At 39.3% G+C, this 18156-nt stretch overlaps 1 protein-coding gene across 2 annotated transcripts in view, besides 1 other annotated feature; it reads right to left on the bottom strand.

Annotated features, from left to right (window-relative positions):
* NF1 (neurofibromin 1) overlaps positions 8073-18156 on the bottom strand; it is a 282699-nt gene continuing 272615 nt past the window's right edge. For both annotated transcript variants that reach the window (NM_001042492.3, NM_000267.4), the window contains one exon: positions 8073-11735. In NM_001042492.3, coding sequence (NP_001035957.1) covers positions 11593-11735 — 143 coding nt within the window. In that variant the 3' untranslated portion in view covers positions 8073-11592. The remainder of the gene's footprint in view (positions 11736-18156) is intronic.
* Positions 13743-14037: a silencer, noted in NCBI's record as "tiled region #6872; HepG2 Repressive non-DNase unmatched - State 15:Elon". NCBI's record gives its function as "represses a minimal TATA promoter and a strong SV40 promoter by Sharpr-MPRA in HepG2 cells {active_cell/tissue: HepG2}" and the evidence as "EXISTENCE:reporter gene assay evidence [ECO:0000049][PMID:27701403]".

The raw sequence follows: 18156 nt of genomic DNA, 5'->3' as shown, positions 1-18156 counted from the left end.
ATGCCACCCCCTCCAAGAAGCCTTCCCTGAGTCAGCTGCCCTTACTGCTCTGCCCTCACAGAACTTTGCAGACTCTACAGTGTGTTCGTGATGCACACACAGGGATGCTCTGCCCATCAGCTGTCTCCCCTGGCCAGGGCGCCCAGATGTCTTCTCAGGGATGATGGGATCATTCCAAGATTAGGAAAACAGACACAGGGTCAAGAGCCGAGAGTTAAGAGGCAGGTGAAGGAAGTGCTGTCAGAGCCATAGGAGGAGCGGGAACAGGTGCCTGGAAGCCAAAAGAGGTGAGGAAAATGACTGAATTATAGTTAAATGTGCACATCCTTCACCATGTATTTCTTTTTTTTTTGAGATGGAGTCTCACTCTCGTTGCCTAGGCTGCAGTGCAATGGCGTGACCTCAGCTCACTGCAACCTCTGCAGTGTTCAAGCGATTCTCCTGCCTCAGCCTCCCGAGTAGCTGGGATTACAAGGTGCCTGTCACCATGCCTGGCTTTTTTTTTTTTTTTTTTTTTTTTTTTTTAGATGGAGTTTCGCTCTTGTTGCCCAGGCGGGAGTGCAATGGTGCGATCTCAGCTCACTGCAACCTCTGTCTCCCAGGTTCAAAGCGATTCTTGTGCCTTAGCCTCCCAAATAGCTGGGATTACAGGCACATGCCACCATCCCTGGCTAATTTTGTACTTTTAGTAGAGACAGGGTTTCTCCGTGTTGGTCAGGCTGGTCCCGAACTCCCGACCTCAGGTGATCCACTCGCCTCGGCCTACCAAAGTGTTGGGATTACAGGCGTGAGCCACCACGCCCGGCTACTAATTTTTTGTATTTGCAGTAGAGATGGGGTTTCACCATGTTGGCCAGGCTGGTCTTGAACTCTTGACCTCAGGTGATCCACCTGCCTCAGCTTCCCAAAATGCTGGGATTACAGGCATAAGCCACAGTGCCTGGCCGCCTACGAGCTTCTTGAGAGCAAGGACCATTCCCCATCAACCTTGTTAACCTTGAAAGGTTGCAAGCTGTTGAGTAGAAGTTATAAAATAACAGTGAAGGTTTAGGGTTGGCCTACGGAGTTGACAGCAGTTCACCTGCACCACTCTAAACTAGTTATGCTGATACTCCCCTAAGGAAGGAAAACAAACCCAGCTCCCTGTAATCCGAATTAGTAAAGAGCTACCTTTTGATAAAAGGAAAAAGATAAAGGTAAAAACATCCAAGAGGTGGTAGTTAATGTAATACCTAAACTCTGCTATCATAAACATCCTTTTTAGTACAACTAAAAGTAAGCATTATCCTCATCTCTTAAAACCCTTTTTGTTTTCAAAGCAATAATCATTGTAAAATGCTTAGAAGATAGACACAAAAAGGAGTAAGTGAGCCATACATATTGTTAACATTCAATACATTTCCTTTTCTTTATCCTATGCAAAAACTATACACATATATTTGTATTTATATAATTGGGAATTAGCCCTCTTATGTGGTTTTAAAACTCTTGATTTTATTGGAAGTTCCCTCCCAAAATTTAAATATTATTAGGCCATTTTTAAAGGCTGCATAAGGAAGTGGTCAGCTTCCAGAAAGTGCTGGATGAATGTAGATAATTTAACCAATATTTTGGTTGTCTTCAGGTTTTCTGATATTATAATACTTTGATGAAAGTCTTCACTCTTTTACCATTTGTTTCTCCAGAATAGATTCCTAGATAATTACTAGGGCGAATGGTATGGACTTTTTTTTTTTTTTTTTTTTTTGAGACGGAGTTTCGCTCTTGTTGCCCAGACTGGAGTGCAATGGCGCAATCTCAGCTCACCACAGCCTCCGCCTCCCGGGTTCAAGTGATTCTTCTGCCTCAGCCTCCTGAGTAGCTGGGATTAACAGGCATGCACCACCACGCCCGGCTAATTTTGTATTTTTAGTAGAGACGGGGGTTTCTCCATGTTGGTCAGGCTGGTCTCAAACTCACGACCTCAGCTGATCCACCTGCCTCAGCCTCCTGAAGTGCTAGGATTACAGGCATAAGCCACCACGCCCAGCCAGTATGGACATTTTTAAGGCTGGTAATACAGAGAGATGAGGCCATCTGCAGGAAGAACTCATCGCACCACATTCTTGACCTGCACCAAGTATTAGTTAAGTGTCTTTGCTAATGTGACAAGTGAAAATATGTATCAGGTATCCCATTGTTTCAGTTTGTATTTCTTTTTGTTTACTAATGAGTGTGATGACCTTTTCCATCATAAACAGGAGTTGGTACAATATTTCTGTGGATTGGCCATTCATGTTCTTTGCCCATTTTTCTTTCTGCTTAGGTTTTTTCTTTAGATGAGTTTTTATGAACTCTTTATAATTCCCTATTGGTTGGCCTTTTAATTTTGTGTGTGATTTTTTTGGACATGGGGACATTTTAATGTTAGGCAGTCAATGCGGGACCCTTAGGATTTCTGCTTTTAAGCTTACACTGCTTTTTTTTTTTTTTTTTGAGACGGAGTCCTGCTCTGTCACCCAGGCTGGAATGCAATGGCACAATCTCAGCTCGCTGCAACCTCCGCCTCCCGGGTTCAAGCAATTCTCCTATCTCAGCCTCCTGAGCAGCTGGGATTACAGGCACATGCCGCCACGCCCGAGAACGTATTGTATTTTGGTAGAGAGGCCCATGTTGCCCAGGCTGGTCTTGAACTCCTGAGCTCAGGCAATCCACCCGCCTCGGCCTCCTGAAGTGCTAGGATTACAGGCGTGAGCCACTGCACTTACACTGCTTTTAAGCTTACAAAGTCCTTCCCTATTGTAGGAGTCATTAATGTTCTTGGCCAATGTTTCCAGCTCTTTCCCTTTTGAACAGAGGAAGATAGTGATTTTTGACCCTTGTGACTTTGTGAAGCTGTGTGTCAAGTTCTGGCAATGACTGTGAAAAGTGACTGTGTATCTGTCCTCAAGCCTTTAATTGCTGATGCAAGAGCTTCCAGATGCTGCTCTGTCCAATCTAGCAGCCAGTAGCCACATGTAACTATTTACATTTATTTAATATAAAAGTTTAGTTTCCCATTCTCACTAACCACATTTCAAGTGTTCAATGGCCACATGTGGCTAGTGGCCACTGTCCTGGACAGTGCAGATATGGAACTGGTAATACAGAAAGATGAGGCCAAGTGCAGGAAGAACTCATTGCACCACATTCTGGACTGGCACCAATATTAGTTAAGTACGTCTTTGCTAATGTGACAAATGAAAATGGGACCCCTCTGTTTCAGCTTCCAGCAGAACATTTCCATCATCACAGCGGCTGGACATTACAGCCTGAGCTCCTTCCCTCTGGCATGATGGCTAGCCATTTGTAGATCAAATGAGTGAGTGATCAGAGATGGCTGATCACTCACTCTGGAGTCCCAAGACATCAGGGTGAGCAGAGCCTCCTGATAACGGGTGATGGACATGTAGCAGAGGTGAGAAATAAGCTTTTGTGGCTTTGAAGCCAATACACTTTGGGAGTTACTCATGCTTGTCTTTTTAAATAAAAAAATCAAAGCATAATCTGGACCTTCTAGCCTGTTCCACTTTATATTTACTCTAATTACCATTAGTATTTAAGCATTTAAAAATTTGTTTTACTACCTAATAAGGAAGTTTTCGACAACCCGTTGTTAGCCATGCTTTCCTGTTTATTCCACAAGGTGAAGAATATTTTCCAAAGATCATTTTGTCTGGATACACTCTCTTCTTGTTGGCATCTTGATCAGAATTGTATTAAGCCAGTTCATTTATTTGGGAAGATCTGGCATTCAACGATATTCAGCTTTCCAACCCAGGACTGTGGTCTGTCTCTCCATTTGCTGGAGTCTCCTTTAAGCCCAGCTTCCTCACATGCCTGCGTGCTGAGCAGTGCTGTGTGGAGAAAAATAAGCAGCAATGAGAGAAAACTGAGGACAACATAGTGACTTTTATAAAGCAAAACTAATTTCTTTTAAAGAACTGTACTTTATCCTGTGATTCCCTCCCCCACTACTCAGAGTTGAAATGGCGTTTTACAAAAAAACTATGTTAGATATATTTTTTTCTTGTTTCTAAATGCATAAGTTGATGAAATGTATTTTGGAAATTTTACTGATCTGTGAAATCTCAAAGTCTGGATTAGAATTTTCAATAGGTCTTTATTACACAGGTCACCTCTATTTTGTTAGGGATTTTGCATTGGGGTTGCTATTGTGTATGGGGATTTTCCCATTCTATTTATATAGTTCTTTATAACATAAAGCCTTCAGTGTTATTCAACAACTATCTATTGAGCACCTTTGAACAAAGCATGTTCCCTACACTGGGAGGCTCATAATCCTAACCAGGGACATAGGAAGATAGTTGATGATTACAAAGTTGTTGTATAGAGAAGCTGTCACAGAAGCAAGAGAAGGGCTCTCAGCCAATGGGAGATCAGAAAGCATTTCCAAGAGGTGCTGGTGCTCAAATTGAGTGACAACAAGGCACCCAGAAAATGTTTTGCTGAATGACTGCTGCACACTCAAAAAGACTTGGTATTTTGATAATGAATTTTTGTCTCCTGTAGAATCCTAGATATGAGTAAGGGTGGTATTTGTGGAGTCTTTTTTAATGAAGGCACAGATCACCTAATTCCTTTCTGCCTTCCATTCACAAATTACCAAATTGCAAAGAAAGTATCTCTTTACCATCAATTTCTTTCTACTTCAACTTTGGGCCAGACTCAAAACATTTATAATTGCCAGGATAGAAAAAGTGTTGCTATTTTTGTGATCTGGGGCTAAGGCATATCTTCACGTATTTTTTGTTTTTATTTTTTCTTGAGACGGAGTTTCGCTCTTGTTGCCCAGGCTGGAGTGCAATGGCGCGATCTCGGCTCACTGCAACCATTGCTTCCTGGTTCAAGCGATTCTCCTGCCTCAGCCTCCCGAGTAGCTGGGATTACAGGCATGTGCCACCATGTCCAGCTAATTTTGTATTTTCAGTAGAGATGGGGTTTCTCCATGTTGGTCAGGCTGGTCTCCAACTCCTGACCTCAGGTAATCTGCCCACCTCGGCCTCCCAAAGTGTTGGGATTACAGGCGTAAGCCACTGCGCCTGGCCCATATACTTTGTAAATGTAGAAAATTAAGCTGCATTCCCCAACGTGGGACAAAAGAATGGAGAAAAATAACACGAGAAGCCAATCTCCTGTGGTGTGCTGCTTTCTGCCTAAACACTTATCTGCTACTTGCCCTCTCTGGGCCAGTCTCCTCTCTCTCTTTTTTTTTTTTTTTTTTGAGATGGAGTCTCGCTCTGTCACCCAGGCTGGAGTGCAGTGGCACGATCTCACTCACTGCAAGCTCCGCCTCCCAGGTTCATGCCATTCTCCTGCCTCAGCCTCCCGTGTAGCTGGGACTACAGGCGCCCACCACAATGCCTGGCTAATTTTTTGTATTTTTAGTAGAGACGGGGTTTCACCGTGTTAGCCAGGATGGTCTCGATCTCCTGACCTCGTGATCCGTCTCTGGGCCAGTCTGTTAACGGACTTGATTACCTTCTGTCCATTAAATACTCCAAAACCCTATTTTCAACTGCTCACTGGACACATTTCAACCTGGACAAACTTCTTGGTCATTCTTTAAGACCCACCTCCTCAGTTGCCAACCATGCCAGTCACTCCATGACCCTCTAAAAACCCCACCCACACCTTGGGACACTGTGGTCATTGTTTGTGTGGCTGTTTTCCCCACTAAGTCATGAGGTCATAGAGGACAAAGGCCAAGCTTTCTTCTTTTGTATTTACAATTATAACCAAAGGAAAAACTTTTTTTGAACAATCAGCTAAGGTTGCATCTGTCAACATTTTCTTCCCTTAAAAATATTAATTTAGGCAATGCTTTCTGAACTTCTGAGCAGGAAAGGGCCCTATTAAGATTCCAATGTGACTGTCTTATTTTATATAGAGGAAGTGGCCAATGGGGCAAGTTCTGAACCTTGTAACCCCAGAAGCATAATGCTCTTGATCACTATTAGCTTGACTGTCAGCATAAAGACATAGTAAAGGACCTAGAATAATTTTGCAATATGACCTTTTTGAGAAAATTTAAAAAGACAAAATAATTTGGCCCAATGTAGGTAAAATGTATCAAGCTGTTTTGGAAACCTGAAATACGCATCCACATATGCATATGTAGTATGTATGTACACACACAGTATAAACCGATTTTTAGAAGACAATTTTTTAAAAAAGCCAAACCAACTGATTAAAATTATAACTCCACATTACTTTATGAAACTTATGATTAGGCAGCACTTCTAAAAGAACAAAATGTGAGAGATTCAAACCAACAGTGACTATGCTGCTGTAGTATGGTTCTATTTTTTTTTTTTTTTTTTTTTTTTTTAAGACAATGTCTGGCTCTACCTCCCAGGCTGTAGTGCAGAAGTGCAATCTCAGCTCACTGAAACCTCCACCTCCCGGGTTCAAGTGATTCTCTTGCTTCAGCCTCCTGGTAGCTGGGACTATAGGCATAAGCCACCATGGCCGGCTAATTTTTGTATTTTTAGTAGAGATGGGGTTTCACCATGTTTCCCAAACTCCCGACTTCAAGTGATCCGCCTGCCTTGGCCTTCCAGTGTTGGGATTACACGCGTGAGCCACCGCGCCCGGCTGGTTCTAATATTTATAGAAACATAATCAACATTGCAAAAGGGCTTCTTTTAAATTGGCAGCTAAAAGGGTCTTAAGTGGAACTCACCTGAATATGAAGACTGATTTCCAAATGAAGACAGGTTTGGCAGATTACTTGGGGCAATGAATTGCCCTTTAAAGAATTTGGATGCAGCTTTGTCAGAGGCTGTTCTGATGGGCAGTGAGCAGGTTAAGAAGTGCTACTGGTAGACAAGGGAGAATTAGTAATGAAGGTAAATTCCCAAGATGCCTGCCACCACTAGGGGCTTCCCTTGGTGATGGGGGGGGATGGGCTACTTTGTGGAAGAGGAATACTGAGATGCTACCACTTGGTTGTAGGTTTTTTACTATTCTTCCAGAACCTCTGGCCCCTCCTCAACATCCCATGGGAATCAACTCTTCAAGCCAGGCAGTTCAGAATTGCTAGACTAGCCTAAGGGTGTCCCAGAAAGCAAAGCAAAGAACAGGCAGAGAGGCCCATACAAGATGTACTAAGTCGCCCACGTCCTCAGGGAGCTTGTTGTCCAGGAAGGGAGAGCTCTGATCTAGAGGGTCACTATCCTAAAAACATCCCCTAGTTTGGACTAAGATGCTTTAGGTTACAGGGAAAAGGCAGCTATTTGCAGTATTTGAGTTTTCAGTTCTCTACTCCAATGGTCTTTAAACCACTGAGTGCTCCGTAAAATCGCTTAAGAAGTTTAAACACACACTCTTTCTCCCAACAGCCCATCCTTGGAGAGTTTGCCTTTACCTTGGGGGATTAGGATGGGGACCAGTGTATTAGCAAGCTCTCCAGGTGAGGTACCCCTGCTTTCCAGGCCTGCCCATAAACAGACAAGTACTTGCCTCAGACCTGCAGGTATCTATCACCTGGTCTTTTTTAGTCCTTTGTTCAATATCAGACACTGTTACCCTTCTGAGGATAGCTCTGTCCTGTCCACTGGGTCTGGGCTGTGTTCTTTCTCCACTGATTGGGGGAGGCAACCCACATAATCAAGTAAGTAAAATAGTAACACGGGGCAGCTGAGCCAGGGGAGGTGGTTTACATTGTATACACGTGTAGTGTCACAGAAGATTCTATAGCGGGAAAGCTGAAAAGTTGGAGAGAACTGCCCTCTGACTGGTCAATCTTGGGATGCCCTGACATTTCTGACTGGCTTCATTTTAAGAGAAGCCAGCTTATCCCAGAGAACAGACTCACCTGAGTTTGGCAGGCCCTAAAAAAGCATTTCACAAAAATATTTCACTTTTAGTGTGGAGAAGTTCTGGAAATGGAAAGATCTTTCTCACGGGGAGTAGGAGAGCCAAAAACATCCTTAAGGAAAATGGCCTTAATGTTTCAAAAGATTGGGAGGACTCGGGGGGAAGAAAACAGAGCTCGATACATCTGAAGAAATTAAATAACTCCTCATATCTTAGAGCAGATTGAATTTACATTTTACTTAAAAAAAGGGGGGTGGGGGAAGTACATACACAAGGAGGAAAATGGGGTGAGGAACAATAAAGATCTGAAATGGATTTCTATGATTTTCCCCTACAATGATCGATTTTGTCTGTTGGGCAGTATTTTTCCTGCTGGCGTACAACTGTTTACAGTATTAACAAGGTTGTAGACAAAGGAACTGCCAAAGTTTAGGCCCGGATGGAAAGGACAGTAAGTTATCATATACAATTTAAGTTTACAATACACAGCATTTTCTTTAAATGATGTAACGCAGTCGCAAAAAGAAGTTAACAATACTAACACGAGAATAATCAAATTTTTGTTGTTATCCATGTGCAGCAACTAACTGCTTTACAAAAAAGCAAAATAATACAATATATCATCACATATATTTACAGTATAGTAAATATACTTTTTTTGTCAAATTTTACACAAACTATTTACAGGTGAATATACTGCATTAAAAAAAATTGTGTGGCTGACACTAAGAATGAATTTTTGCCTAAATCCATTGCATAACATTGAGTAAGACATGCCTCATTATGCCTGGGAGTCGGGGAAGGATGTAGAAACAAAAACAAAAAACAAAAAACCCAAACAAAACTGAAAACCCCTAAAACCTACAAACCTGGGAGGGTTGCTGGCTGGCACTCTGTCTCCCCAACTAGGACACAGGATAGAAGCTGACTGTTTAGGATGTGTCCTGGGCACCTGGCTCAGTCATGAACAGGTGTTGAGTGAATGGAAGACAGAGCTGTAGCCACTTTGCCCCAAATCTACTGAACTGCATCTCCATCTGGGCAACTAAGGGCATGCCCCTCGGATGGGAGTACTGGCATAACAGGTAGATTATCCAGGACAAAAACATGACTGAGTTCCTGGTTTCCTCTTTAACAAGTCAGGGGAAACATCTACAAACCGAAACGAATTACTTATAATATTTTTAACAGAACTTATGTCAATTACGCAGAAATGGGCAACTTGGTCTAAACTTCAGAATTTCTTTTATAGATTACAAGTATGAAGACTAAAAAAGTGTTGCATTTCTCAAGGGACACATAGTGGTGAGAGGTTTATCTCATGTACATTTTAGTTACTTGGAAAGCTAGATTTTCCTCAAAAGTCAGAAGTTCTTTAAACAAGGTAAATTTTAAACCTTAGTTAAGTTTTCAAACTCCTAGGATGTACTTACTAGTCAAAGGTATTTTTGCATTTCAAAGGCGGCTGAATTTTGATTTGTGCCAATGCTGATCATTTCAGGCGGTATGAAATACTACACCCTTGGTAAACCCGTTTATGGAAATATCAGTATTTTTAACAGTAAACCTCTGGAAGTTTCTTTATTTTGATGGGAAGAGCAAAATAGCATAACACCCACTATCATATGCACCAAACCAACAAACAAAAACAAGAAAAACATCGAACTAAAGTTATCAAAGGCTTACACTGCCTGCTATTCCAGGGCCTAGAAACTGTGAAACTTACCCCAGAAACACTGGGTTGTGGGAGAGCCAAGACCATGGTGGCAGCTTGGCATCCTTGGCACTGGGTTACTGATCTATTTCTAAACACAGTTCTAATTTCAGCTTTTTTATATAGTCATAGTTGCTCTGTCATTATAAACATTTTCTTCTAATGCAGCCTCTACAATAGTTTAAAAACAAAAGTTTAGTAAATTGCACCTGTCTTCAGTATTTCCAACAATTCTATGGTAAACTCATTAATAATACTAAGGTTTTCTTTCCTCTTATTTTGGCAAATAATTCTTACTTTTCCCAGGACTGTAAACAAATTTAAAAAATTAAATTCTTGTTATTTCTGAGTATCAAAACCAATTTTATTTACATTAACATATTACATTGTTACTGTGTGGATAAATGTGAAATATATTATTAAAATCAGAACACTTAAATGTACCATTATTTATTGAATTAGCTGTGGAATTTAATTTACTGAAATCCTCTAATGAAACAGCACTACAGGAAACTCCCCTCTCCCCTAGGTTTATTTTTTCCCCCCTCAAAGCCATTATATCTTAACATATAAAGGGAACCTGGGAGTAGAGGGATTAATATCTTTTTGTAATAAATATGGTTTAGTTCTAAATTGGAACATCCAGATACCAATATGCTCACTGAAGTCAAATTATTTTGTAAACTGCAGGTACCACAAAGAAATTGGATCTGCATTACTATGAAAATTCCAATGCCATGATAATCCATACCACCAGTATAGCAGCAATTCTAACAGCCCCCCTACTGTCATACTAATGCAGGCTGACCAGTCTTTTCACAGTGATTAAATGCAATTCTAGCATATATAACCTACATGTTTTCTTAAAGAGGTTTCTGATTTTTTTGGAGAGGAGGAGGAAGATTAAAAGACATTCAAAATACATCTTATCAAAGAAATTTATAATATACACCATACTCTATTCTTGGAAATTATTTAACAAAATAAAAATATCAGCTACCCTAAATGTCACGTACCATTCCATTTTGCTATGGAGCTAATGCAAACATCTATGAAAATTACCTTCTGGGAACAATTTTCAACACTTTGTTCACTGATTACCCTGCTCAGAATTAGTTAGGAAAGAAGAGGGGGAGGGGAAAAAATATATATATATATATAATTACTATACTTAGTATAGTTTTGGTTTACAAAAAACAAAACACAAAAAAACCACCTTTAGCAAAATTAAAAATTAAAAGATAATCAACTGGAGAAAAAAATAAACTAGTTTGGATGACTGAGTTTGGATAAGGACTTAGAAGCCATAGTTTTAATTCAGTAATGTTAAGATATATGTGGTCGCACTTATTTTCCTGTAATTATTGCTAATACTCAAGTGTTAGTATTTCTTAAGAATCCACTATAAAATATGAAATTTCCCTGCCCTCCCCCCCAAGTACCTTGTCTGTGGCTTTATGGTGTCAAGTCACTGAGGCTTGACCTCTATGGTTCTTTCAGTTTTGTACGGTTAAAAAAAAAGTCCACAGCTAAAAGATTAAACATACTGGGGTTATAATACTATTTCTCTCATAAACTTGTATCTTGAAAAATGTATAAATAGGACTAACACTTTACTCTGTAGGATGAAGAAGGGAAAACCACAGAAGGCAGAGCTCTGTGCAAATGGCTTTCATCACTGGCCAGTAGTAGCAGTATTCAAGAATTCATCCTCTCTTACAATTGAGATTTCTCAGTTAAAAGTTTCCTGACCTCCCACTTTCTTTGCAGTTGTTCTGAACACTTACATATACCAGATACACGCCAAAAGTAGAAGAAAAAAAGTTAAAGAAAAGGCAGCATTAAATTTAGGCAAGGCTTCGAAGAGTTGATCATCTGGCAACATGGCAAACCGGATGGGTTCATTATAAAACAGGAAGTGCAGCATTACAACATGGGGGGAAAGGGCAAGGACAGGGAAGGGGTCACTAGTGAAGAGCCCATGTTAAGTTGATTTTAAAAAAGAAAGCAAGCAAGCTTCACACGATCTTCTTAATGCTATTACGTTTGAAACTGCCAGCGCTTCTTTGCTTCTGCACTTGGCTTGCGGATCCGTGGCGAGTTCGTCCACTGTTACAGTGGCCAGTGGTAGGGGAGAGTTCAACGTTCTCCTTGTCGATTCCTGGAGAAAAAGAGAACAGCCAGTTACTTCTTCTTTTCCTTCCAGGACTGAATTTCATTGCAGTCATGTGTCGCTTAACAACGGGGACACATTCTAGGAAACAATCATTAGGCGATTTTGTCTGTGCAAATATTGTGGAGTGTACTTACATGAACTTAGATAGCATAGCCTACTACACACCAAGGCTATATGGTATAGCCTGTTTCTCCCAGGCAACAAACCTGTACAGCAGGTTACCATATTGTGTACTTTATGTAGTTGTAACACAATGCTAACTATTTGTATATCTAACACAGAAAAGGTACAGTAAAAATACAGTATTATAATCTTTCGGGACCACTGTCTATATGTGTTCTGTTGTTGACTGCAATGTTGTTATGCAGCACATGACTATATTTGTGATAAGATACAACCTGGCAAATTGTTTATGCACATTTCATTTTAATAGTCAATTGCTAAAATGTTTACTAAGTTAATGTCACATGGAAAACTTCACATTTTGTTATGCAAAGTTTGCTATCATAGCAGAAAATAGCACAAGAAAAATGAAAAGACAAGTTGCAAGGAAAAGCTAGAGGCTGGCAGGCTTGAACTAAATGAAAGGCTAGCAGCCACCAGGGAAGACTAGTGCTCCTTCCTCCAAATCATACCAGAAACTTCCAGCAGAGGTCATCTTCTAGCCTTATTCACATCCTCATTCATGTTTATAAACAGAATATACTCTCCAGCAGCAGAAAGTACTGATCTTTCCAGCAAATTTGTCACTTCAAAGAAAACTCAAGATGCTTTTATTTTTTTAATCACAGTGCCTATCCCAAAGAAACTATTTACTGAGAAAATAATATATCACAAAGGTCATACTGTAGAATCTTTGCTTCTTTTCAGCTATGCCAAGTCATTTCACATTCTGCAACCTTAAACAGATGCCATTTATTTCTCTTGAGGAGGAGATTAAACCTCCAAAACCTGGGCCTAACAATGATTGATTATTTATTTAGAGACAGGGTCTTGCCCTGTTGCACAGGCTGCAGTGCAGTGGTGTGATCATAGCTCACTATAACCTTGAACTTCCAGGCTCAAGCTATCCTCTCGCCTCAGCCTCCCAAACAGCTAGGACTACAGGTGCATGCCACCATGCCCAGCTAATTTTAAAATTCTGTCTAGAGATAGAGTCTCACTATGTTGCCAAGGCTGGTCTTGAACTCCTGGTCTCAAGCAATCCTTCCATCTTGGCCTCTCAAAGTTCTGGGATTACAAGCATGAGCCACTGCACCCCACCCCAATTAATATTATAAATAATCTAAGCAGTAACTTCAGAAAAGTAACCAGAAACTAAAATAAGATTTTTATTTTTATCTATCACATTAGGAAAGATTACAAATTGGGTAACAGGACTGTGGTCACCCTTGCGGAAGTAGTGACTTAAGGGGGCATGAGGATGGCTTCTTGGGATGCTGGTAATGTTCTGTTTCTTGATGTAGATGATGGATTTTCAAGTGTGTTTACATTTTAAAAGTTCACTAAGCTGAAAACTTGCAATTTGTGAACTTTTCTGTTAAACATCAATAAAATTTACCCCCAAAATTAGACTGATTATACTTACTGCTGGCATAAATTTTGGCGGGAAAGCAAACAGCTGCAGAACGTTTTAGTAATTTGTATCAAAATGTACATTACTGATTGATATTTACTGATACAAAAAGATGACCACAATTTTTGGAGTAGGAAAAAAACACCCACACACTGTGGGGAGAGGGCGTAGGGCTGGGTAAACATCTGCCAAAATATTTTATCTCTGTCAGAAGCCAAAGGACTAAAAAATATATTTTACCTCTGTATGGCAAGATTTCAGCTAATTTGTACTTTATTCTTCTTTATATATTGAAATTTTAAATCTTAGAATAGAAAAATTTCCATTTTTGGACAAAAAGTAATATTTCAAGTCAAGAAGTATTCATTATGTTACAGAAAATGTACATAGATCTACCCAGTTAGTTATTTGTTGGCTCATGAACAGGAAATGAACTTGGGATGACCTCCCTCTAGGAGCCACTCATCTTTCATTTGGATTCAGCTCTGAATTCGACTCAAGAGTATCAGGCATCTGTAAGCACGTGGCCTGGTTTACACGTGCTCAACAGAGATTTGCTGTCTTGAAAATCTGAACTGCTGTCAAAGGAACATGGGCATTTGTCAGTGACTGTTTATGAACATGTGCACTGCATCAGGCATATGAGTGCAAGGAAAAACATCAGCGACATTTCTCCAGGAGGTGAGCATAGCTGAACCACCACTGAAAATCTGTTCTATTCAAATCTTTTTTAAAACCCTTATTAAATTTTTTAAGGCTAGTCATGTTCTAATCTAATCTAATCTAATCATATGCATAGAAAGATGACTAGAAACATTCATGGAACTTTTCTCTGGGTAACAGAATTCTGGTCTATTTAAATTCTCTTCTGTATATTTATTTGCATCCTCTCCAGAGCTATTTACAAAAGAAATAACAAAACTGAAAGAAAGCTGCTCATGATCTCTGGAATGTGCCTTGAGCTTCTTTGGGATGTATGTTTGTGTAGGCTCTTTTAATTGTCTTGCGTATCTCTACAAGATAAAATTCAACCCATATTTTTTTTTCTCATATCCTTTTCCTTCATGATGCATTATTCTGTCTCTTGCCAGAACTACTTTCTCCTTCCTTGCTTTTAAATTAACTTGCCTATGATTCTACAACTTGTACATCCATCTTCCTCTACTGAGTAAAGGCACTGAGAAGGGTAAAGATCATTATTATTCATTTTTGTTTTCCTGTAAAATCTAGTTATTTTTTCAATACATTGAAAAATTATTTTCAATTAATACTGAATGAACTGAACACTTCCATTTTAAAATGTGATAGCTAGATACCTGTAATTCAGAGCCCCAAAGCATGCAATCCCTGATCTCCAGAGAGTGGTATAATATTTTTAGTTGAAAAGATAGAACTTTTTTTTTTCCCTTTGGCATCCTCCACTTAAAATTATGAATTTGTCAGCGTATTTGACCTTCCATTTCCTCAAATTTGCATTTGGCCTACAAGTTTCAAGTCCAGTAATTCTGAGTTGTTTCTTTAATAGAAAATAAGATTCAGGCAAAACTAGGACCTTAAAAAGACAAAGGTTTGAAACAACTTGGAGCTGGCCCGCATGCAGGAGGGGCATGAAGCATGGATGACCACTAGGAAGGCCCTGTGACTCTCTGCCAGCAATCTGCTACCCTGGGGCTCGTTCTTGTGTGTCTTGCTACTACTAGACCATGGCCTACTCTGAGGGGAAAACAGTCATGACATGGGTGGCAATGCTTCTGTTTGGGCACAGTGTTATTCCTGAGAATTACAATTACATAAATTGTAGTAATGTAGATGAAGTCACTAGGGTGAAGGTATCTTCAAAAAAGTGCTAAGAACATTCCACTTTCTGTTTTGTGAAGCAAATAACCGTCAAACCTCAAATAATTTTAAAGGCCTTATTTATCTCCTGTTAAATGTTGAGGGTACAAAACAAGCTATAAAGTTGTTCACATACTATGACCTCAAGTATATAAAAAAAAGAAACTGGAAGGAAATGCACCAAAATGTTAATAAACAGTGGTTATCTATCTTAGAATGATAGGATTGTGGGTAACTTTTTCCTTTTATTTTTCTGAATTTTCCAATTTTTTTCCTAATGAGCACATTAATTAAAAATGTAAAAGTACGAGTGACTTGTCAGCCCCATCCCTCATAACCAAAAGCTTCAACACTATGTCAAAAGTTGATATTCTACTTCTTTTCTCAAATTCATTTTTCATCTAAATTCTTGTTTTTGGAATGTATGTTTTCTTCCTACTTAGTGACCCAACTGTATAAATCACACATAGGTAAATGTGGTGTGACTGTGATTCCTAAGTTCAACTTCACAGCAAAGATGTTTTACTGTAAGGATCAAAGGAGAAACTAACAAAAATCTTGGAAAGTCATTAAAAAAAAACAATTAAAATGCATTACGTTTACACCAAAATATATCTTGAAAAAGCCAAGGTAGTATGAAACAGAATGATCATAGTATCTAGTTCTGGCATTTAAGTTTCTCAGCATAATTCTCACTTCTAAGAATTTTGGCAGCATTCTTTCTTTTTATCCTCTAAAATTAAATCTAGAAATCTCTCTAGGAACTGGTGAAGGATTTCACCTCAATATCCCATAGGAAAAACTCTCAGATTATCTGATAGACCACTCCAATGCAGACAGAACACATCCTGTATTGCTATATGCCATATTTTAAGTTAGTGAGAAGGCCTTGGTGCTGCACTTCTTTTCATCAAAACCCCTTTAAAGTTTTGTATTCTGGTATCTCTTTTGCCCCTAAAGCATTGGCTCTCCTTTCTGGCCTTTGGTGGACAACAAACAGACAAAACTACAAAGTGACTGACAGAAACCCAGAGGCTACCACACAAAGGAAATAAAGCTAAAACTTCTGTGGTCCTGATTTGCCAGCTTAAATGACCCCACAGATATGCTGTGGTCAAACATGCAGCCAATTACAAACATGCAGAGCAGAAACAGCTGGACATTCTGTACAGCAGTATATCAGCAGTACTATGTTTCAATAAATTGTGGTGGTTCCAGATAAAGACAAAATCCTAACTAGAAGGTGTTATTGGCCAAAATTCAGTGAATTTGAGTAGCTGGGGAAAAGGATTAGATTACATTATTGTTATTTAAGTTAGATGTCTATCTTCCCTGCTAGAACATGAGTTCCTTGAAGGCAGGTATCAAGGTTTGTGTATTTTTACAACTAGTGATGTAGCTCCAGCCTGACAATTTTTTAGTCACTCATTTTTAAAAAACACTTTTGGTTTCCCAAACTGAAATAATCAGTTATAATAGTATCATGAAATAATAAAACAACAGAATCGCTTTTAACTCTTGAAAAGCTAAGGAAAAATGGGTTAGGTAATTTGTGAGAAGTTATACTACAAAAATGACAGACTAATAAAAACTGAAATCTCCTGCCACCTGTGCAGGAGCACTAGTAGGTTACCTTACTCTGCATTTAGTTTATTTCATATACAATATGGCAAACTTATTAGAAAACTCTTATTACATACAGGAGAACTTAAACATGTCAGAAGACCTAGGTTTGAGACTTGTTTGGATCAATATTCTTATTTAGTTGTAATTCTTAATCTGGCAATTAAGGATAACAGCAGACTTGTCTATTTCAAAGGGTTGTTAGACAAAATAATCTATGTGAAGAATTTTTGCACACAGATAAAATAATTACTCCACAAATTAAGATGCTCCTAATATCTGAAGTAAAAGACCAGGTGATACAAAGGAGTTTTAGAACAAATACTAGGACTTTAATTTTATGCTAGAATTTGTAAAATGAGTGAAGCTAATATAAATAAGCACAAAATAGAATAAATCTTCTTAGGTAGCTACAGCCTATTTTTAAGCTACAGTAAATACATTCATGGAGGCGTATTAAATATATACTTAGAAATATTTTTATTTTGAGCTAAATATAAAAAATTGTAACTATAAGAATTTTTGGCTTGGTATTGTGGCTCATGCCTGTAATCCTAACATTTTGGGAGGCCAAGGCAGGCAGATCTTTGAGGTCAGGAGTTCGAGACCAGCCTGGCCAAAATGGTGAAACCTCGTCTCTACTGAAAATACAAAAAAAATTAGCCAGGCTTGGTGGAACATGCCTGTAATTCCAGCTACTCAGGAGGCTGAGGCAGGAGAATCGCTTGAACTGGGGAGGCGGAGGTTGCAGTAAGCTGAGATCACACCACTGTACTCCAGCCTGGGCAACAGAGAGAGACTCCGTCTCAAAAAGAAAAAAGAATTTTTAAAAATGACGTTCACCAACTGCTAGCACTTCTTTTTCTGTTTAGGTGTAATCTTTTTGTATATTAATTACAGGTGAATAAAAGAAAAGGCATCTTTTATAAATTAGACATAAATGTGTCAAATTTTTTCATCTTAGTCCTTATAGCTAACTAATGACCATATATTTTTTTTTTTTAATTTTTTTGTGAGACAGAGTATTGCTCTGTCACTCAGGCTGGAGTGCGGTGGTGCGATCTCAGCTCACCAAAGCCTCAACCTCCCCACCTCAGTCCTGTGAATAGCTTTTTGTATTTTTTGTAGAAAGAGGGTTTTGCCACGTTACCCAGGCTGGTTTTCAACTCCTGGACTCAAGTGATCCGCCCACCTTGGCCTCCCAAAGTGCTGTGATTATAGGCGTGAGCCATCGCACCTGGCCATATTCCTTTTTTTAACCACAGGTGATTGAATAGACAGCCAGCTTTAATTTCTGAGGAAACACTGGGGTTGGCTTTCTATTTGGGGAAAACAAGTTATTTTCTAAGCTAAAAAAACTTCATCAAACCA

Source organism: Homo sapiens, chromosome 17 (assembly GCF_000001405.40).
Source record: "Homo sapiens chromosome 17, GRCh38.p14 Primary Assembly".
In the NCBI taxonomy this organism is placed as follows: domain Eukaryota; kingdom Metazoa; phylum Chordata; class Mammalia; order Primates; family Hominidae; genus Homo; species Homo sapiens.
Note: the sequence above shows the minus strand (reverse complement) of the source record. Positions and strands in the feature narration are given on the sequence as shown.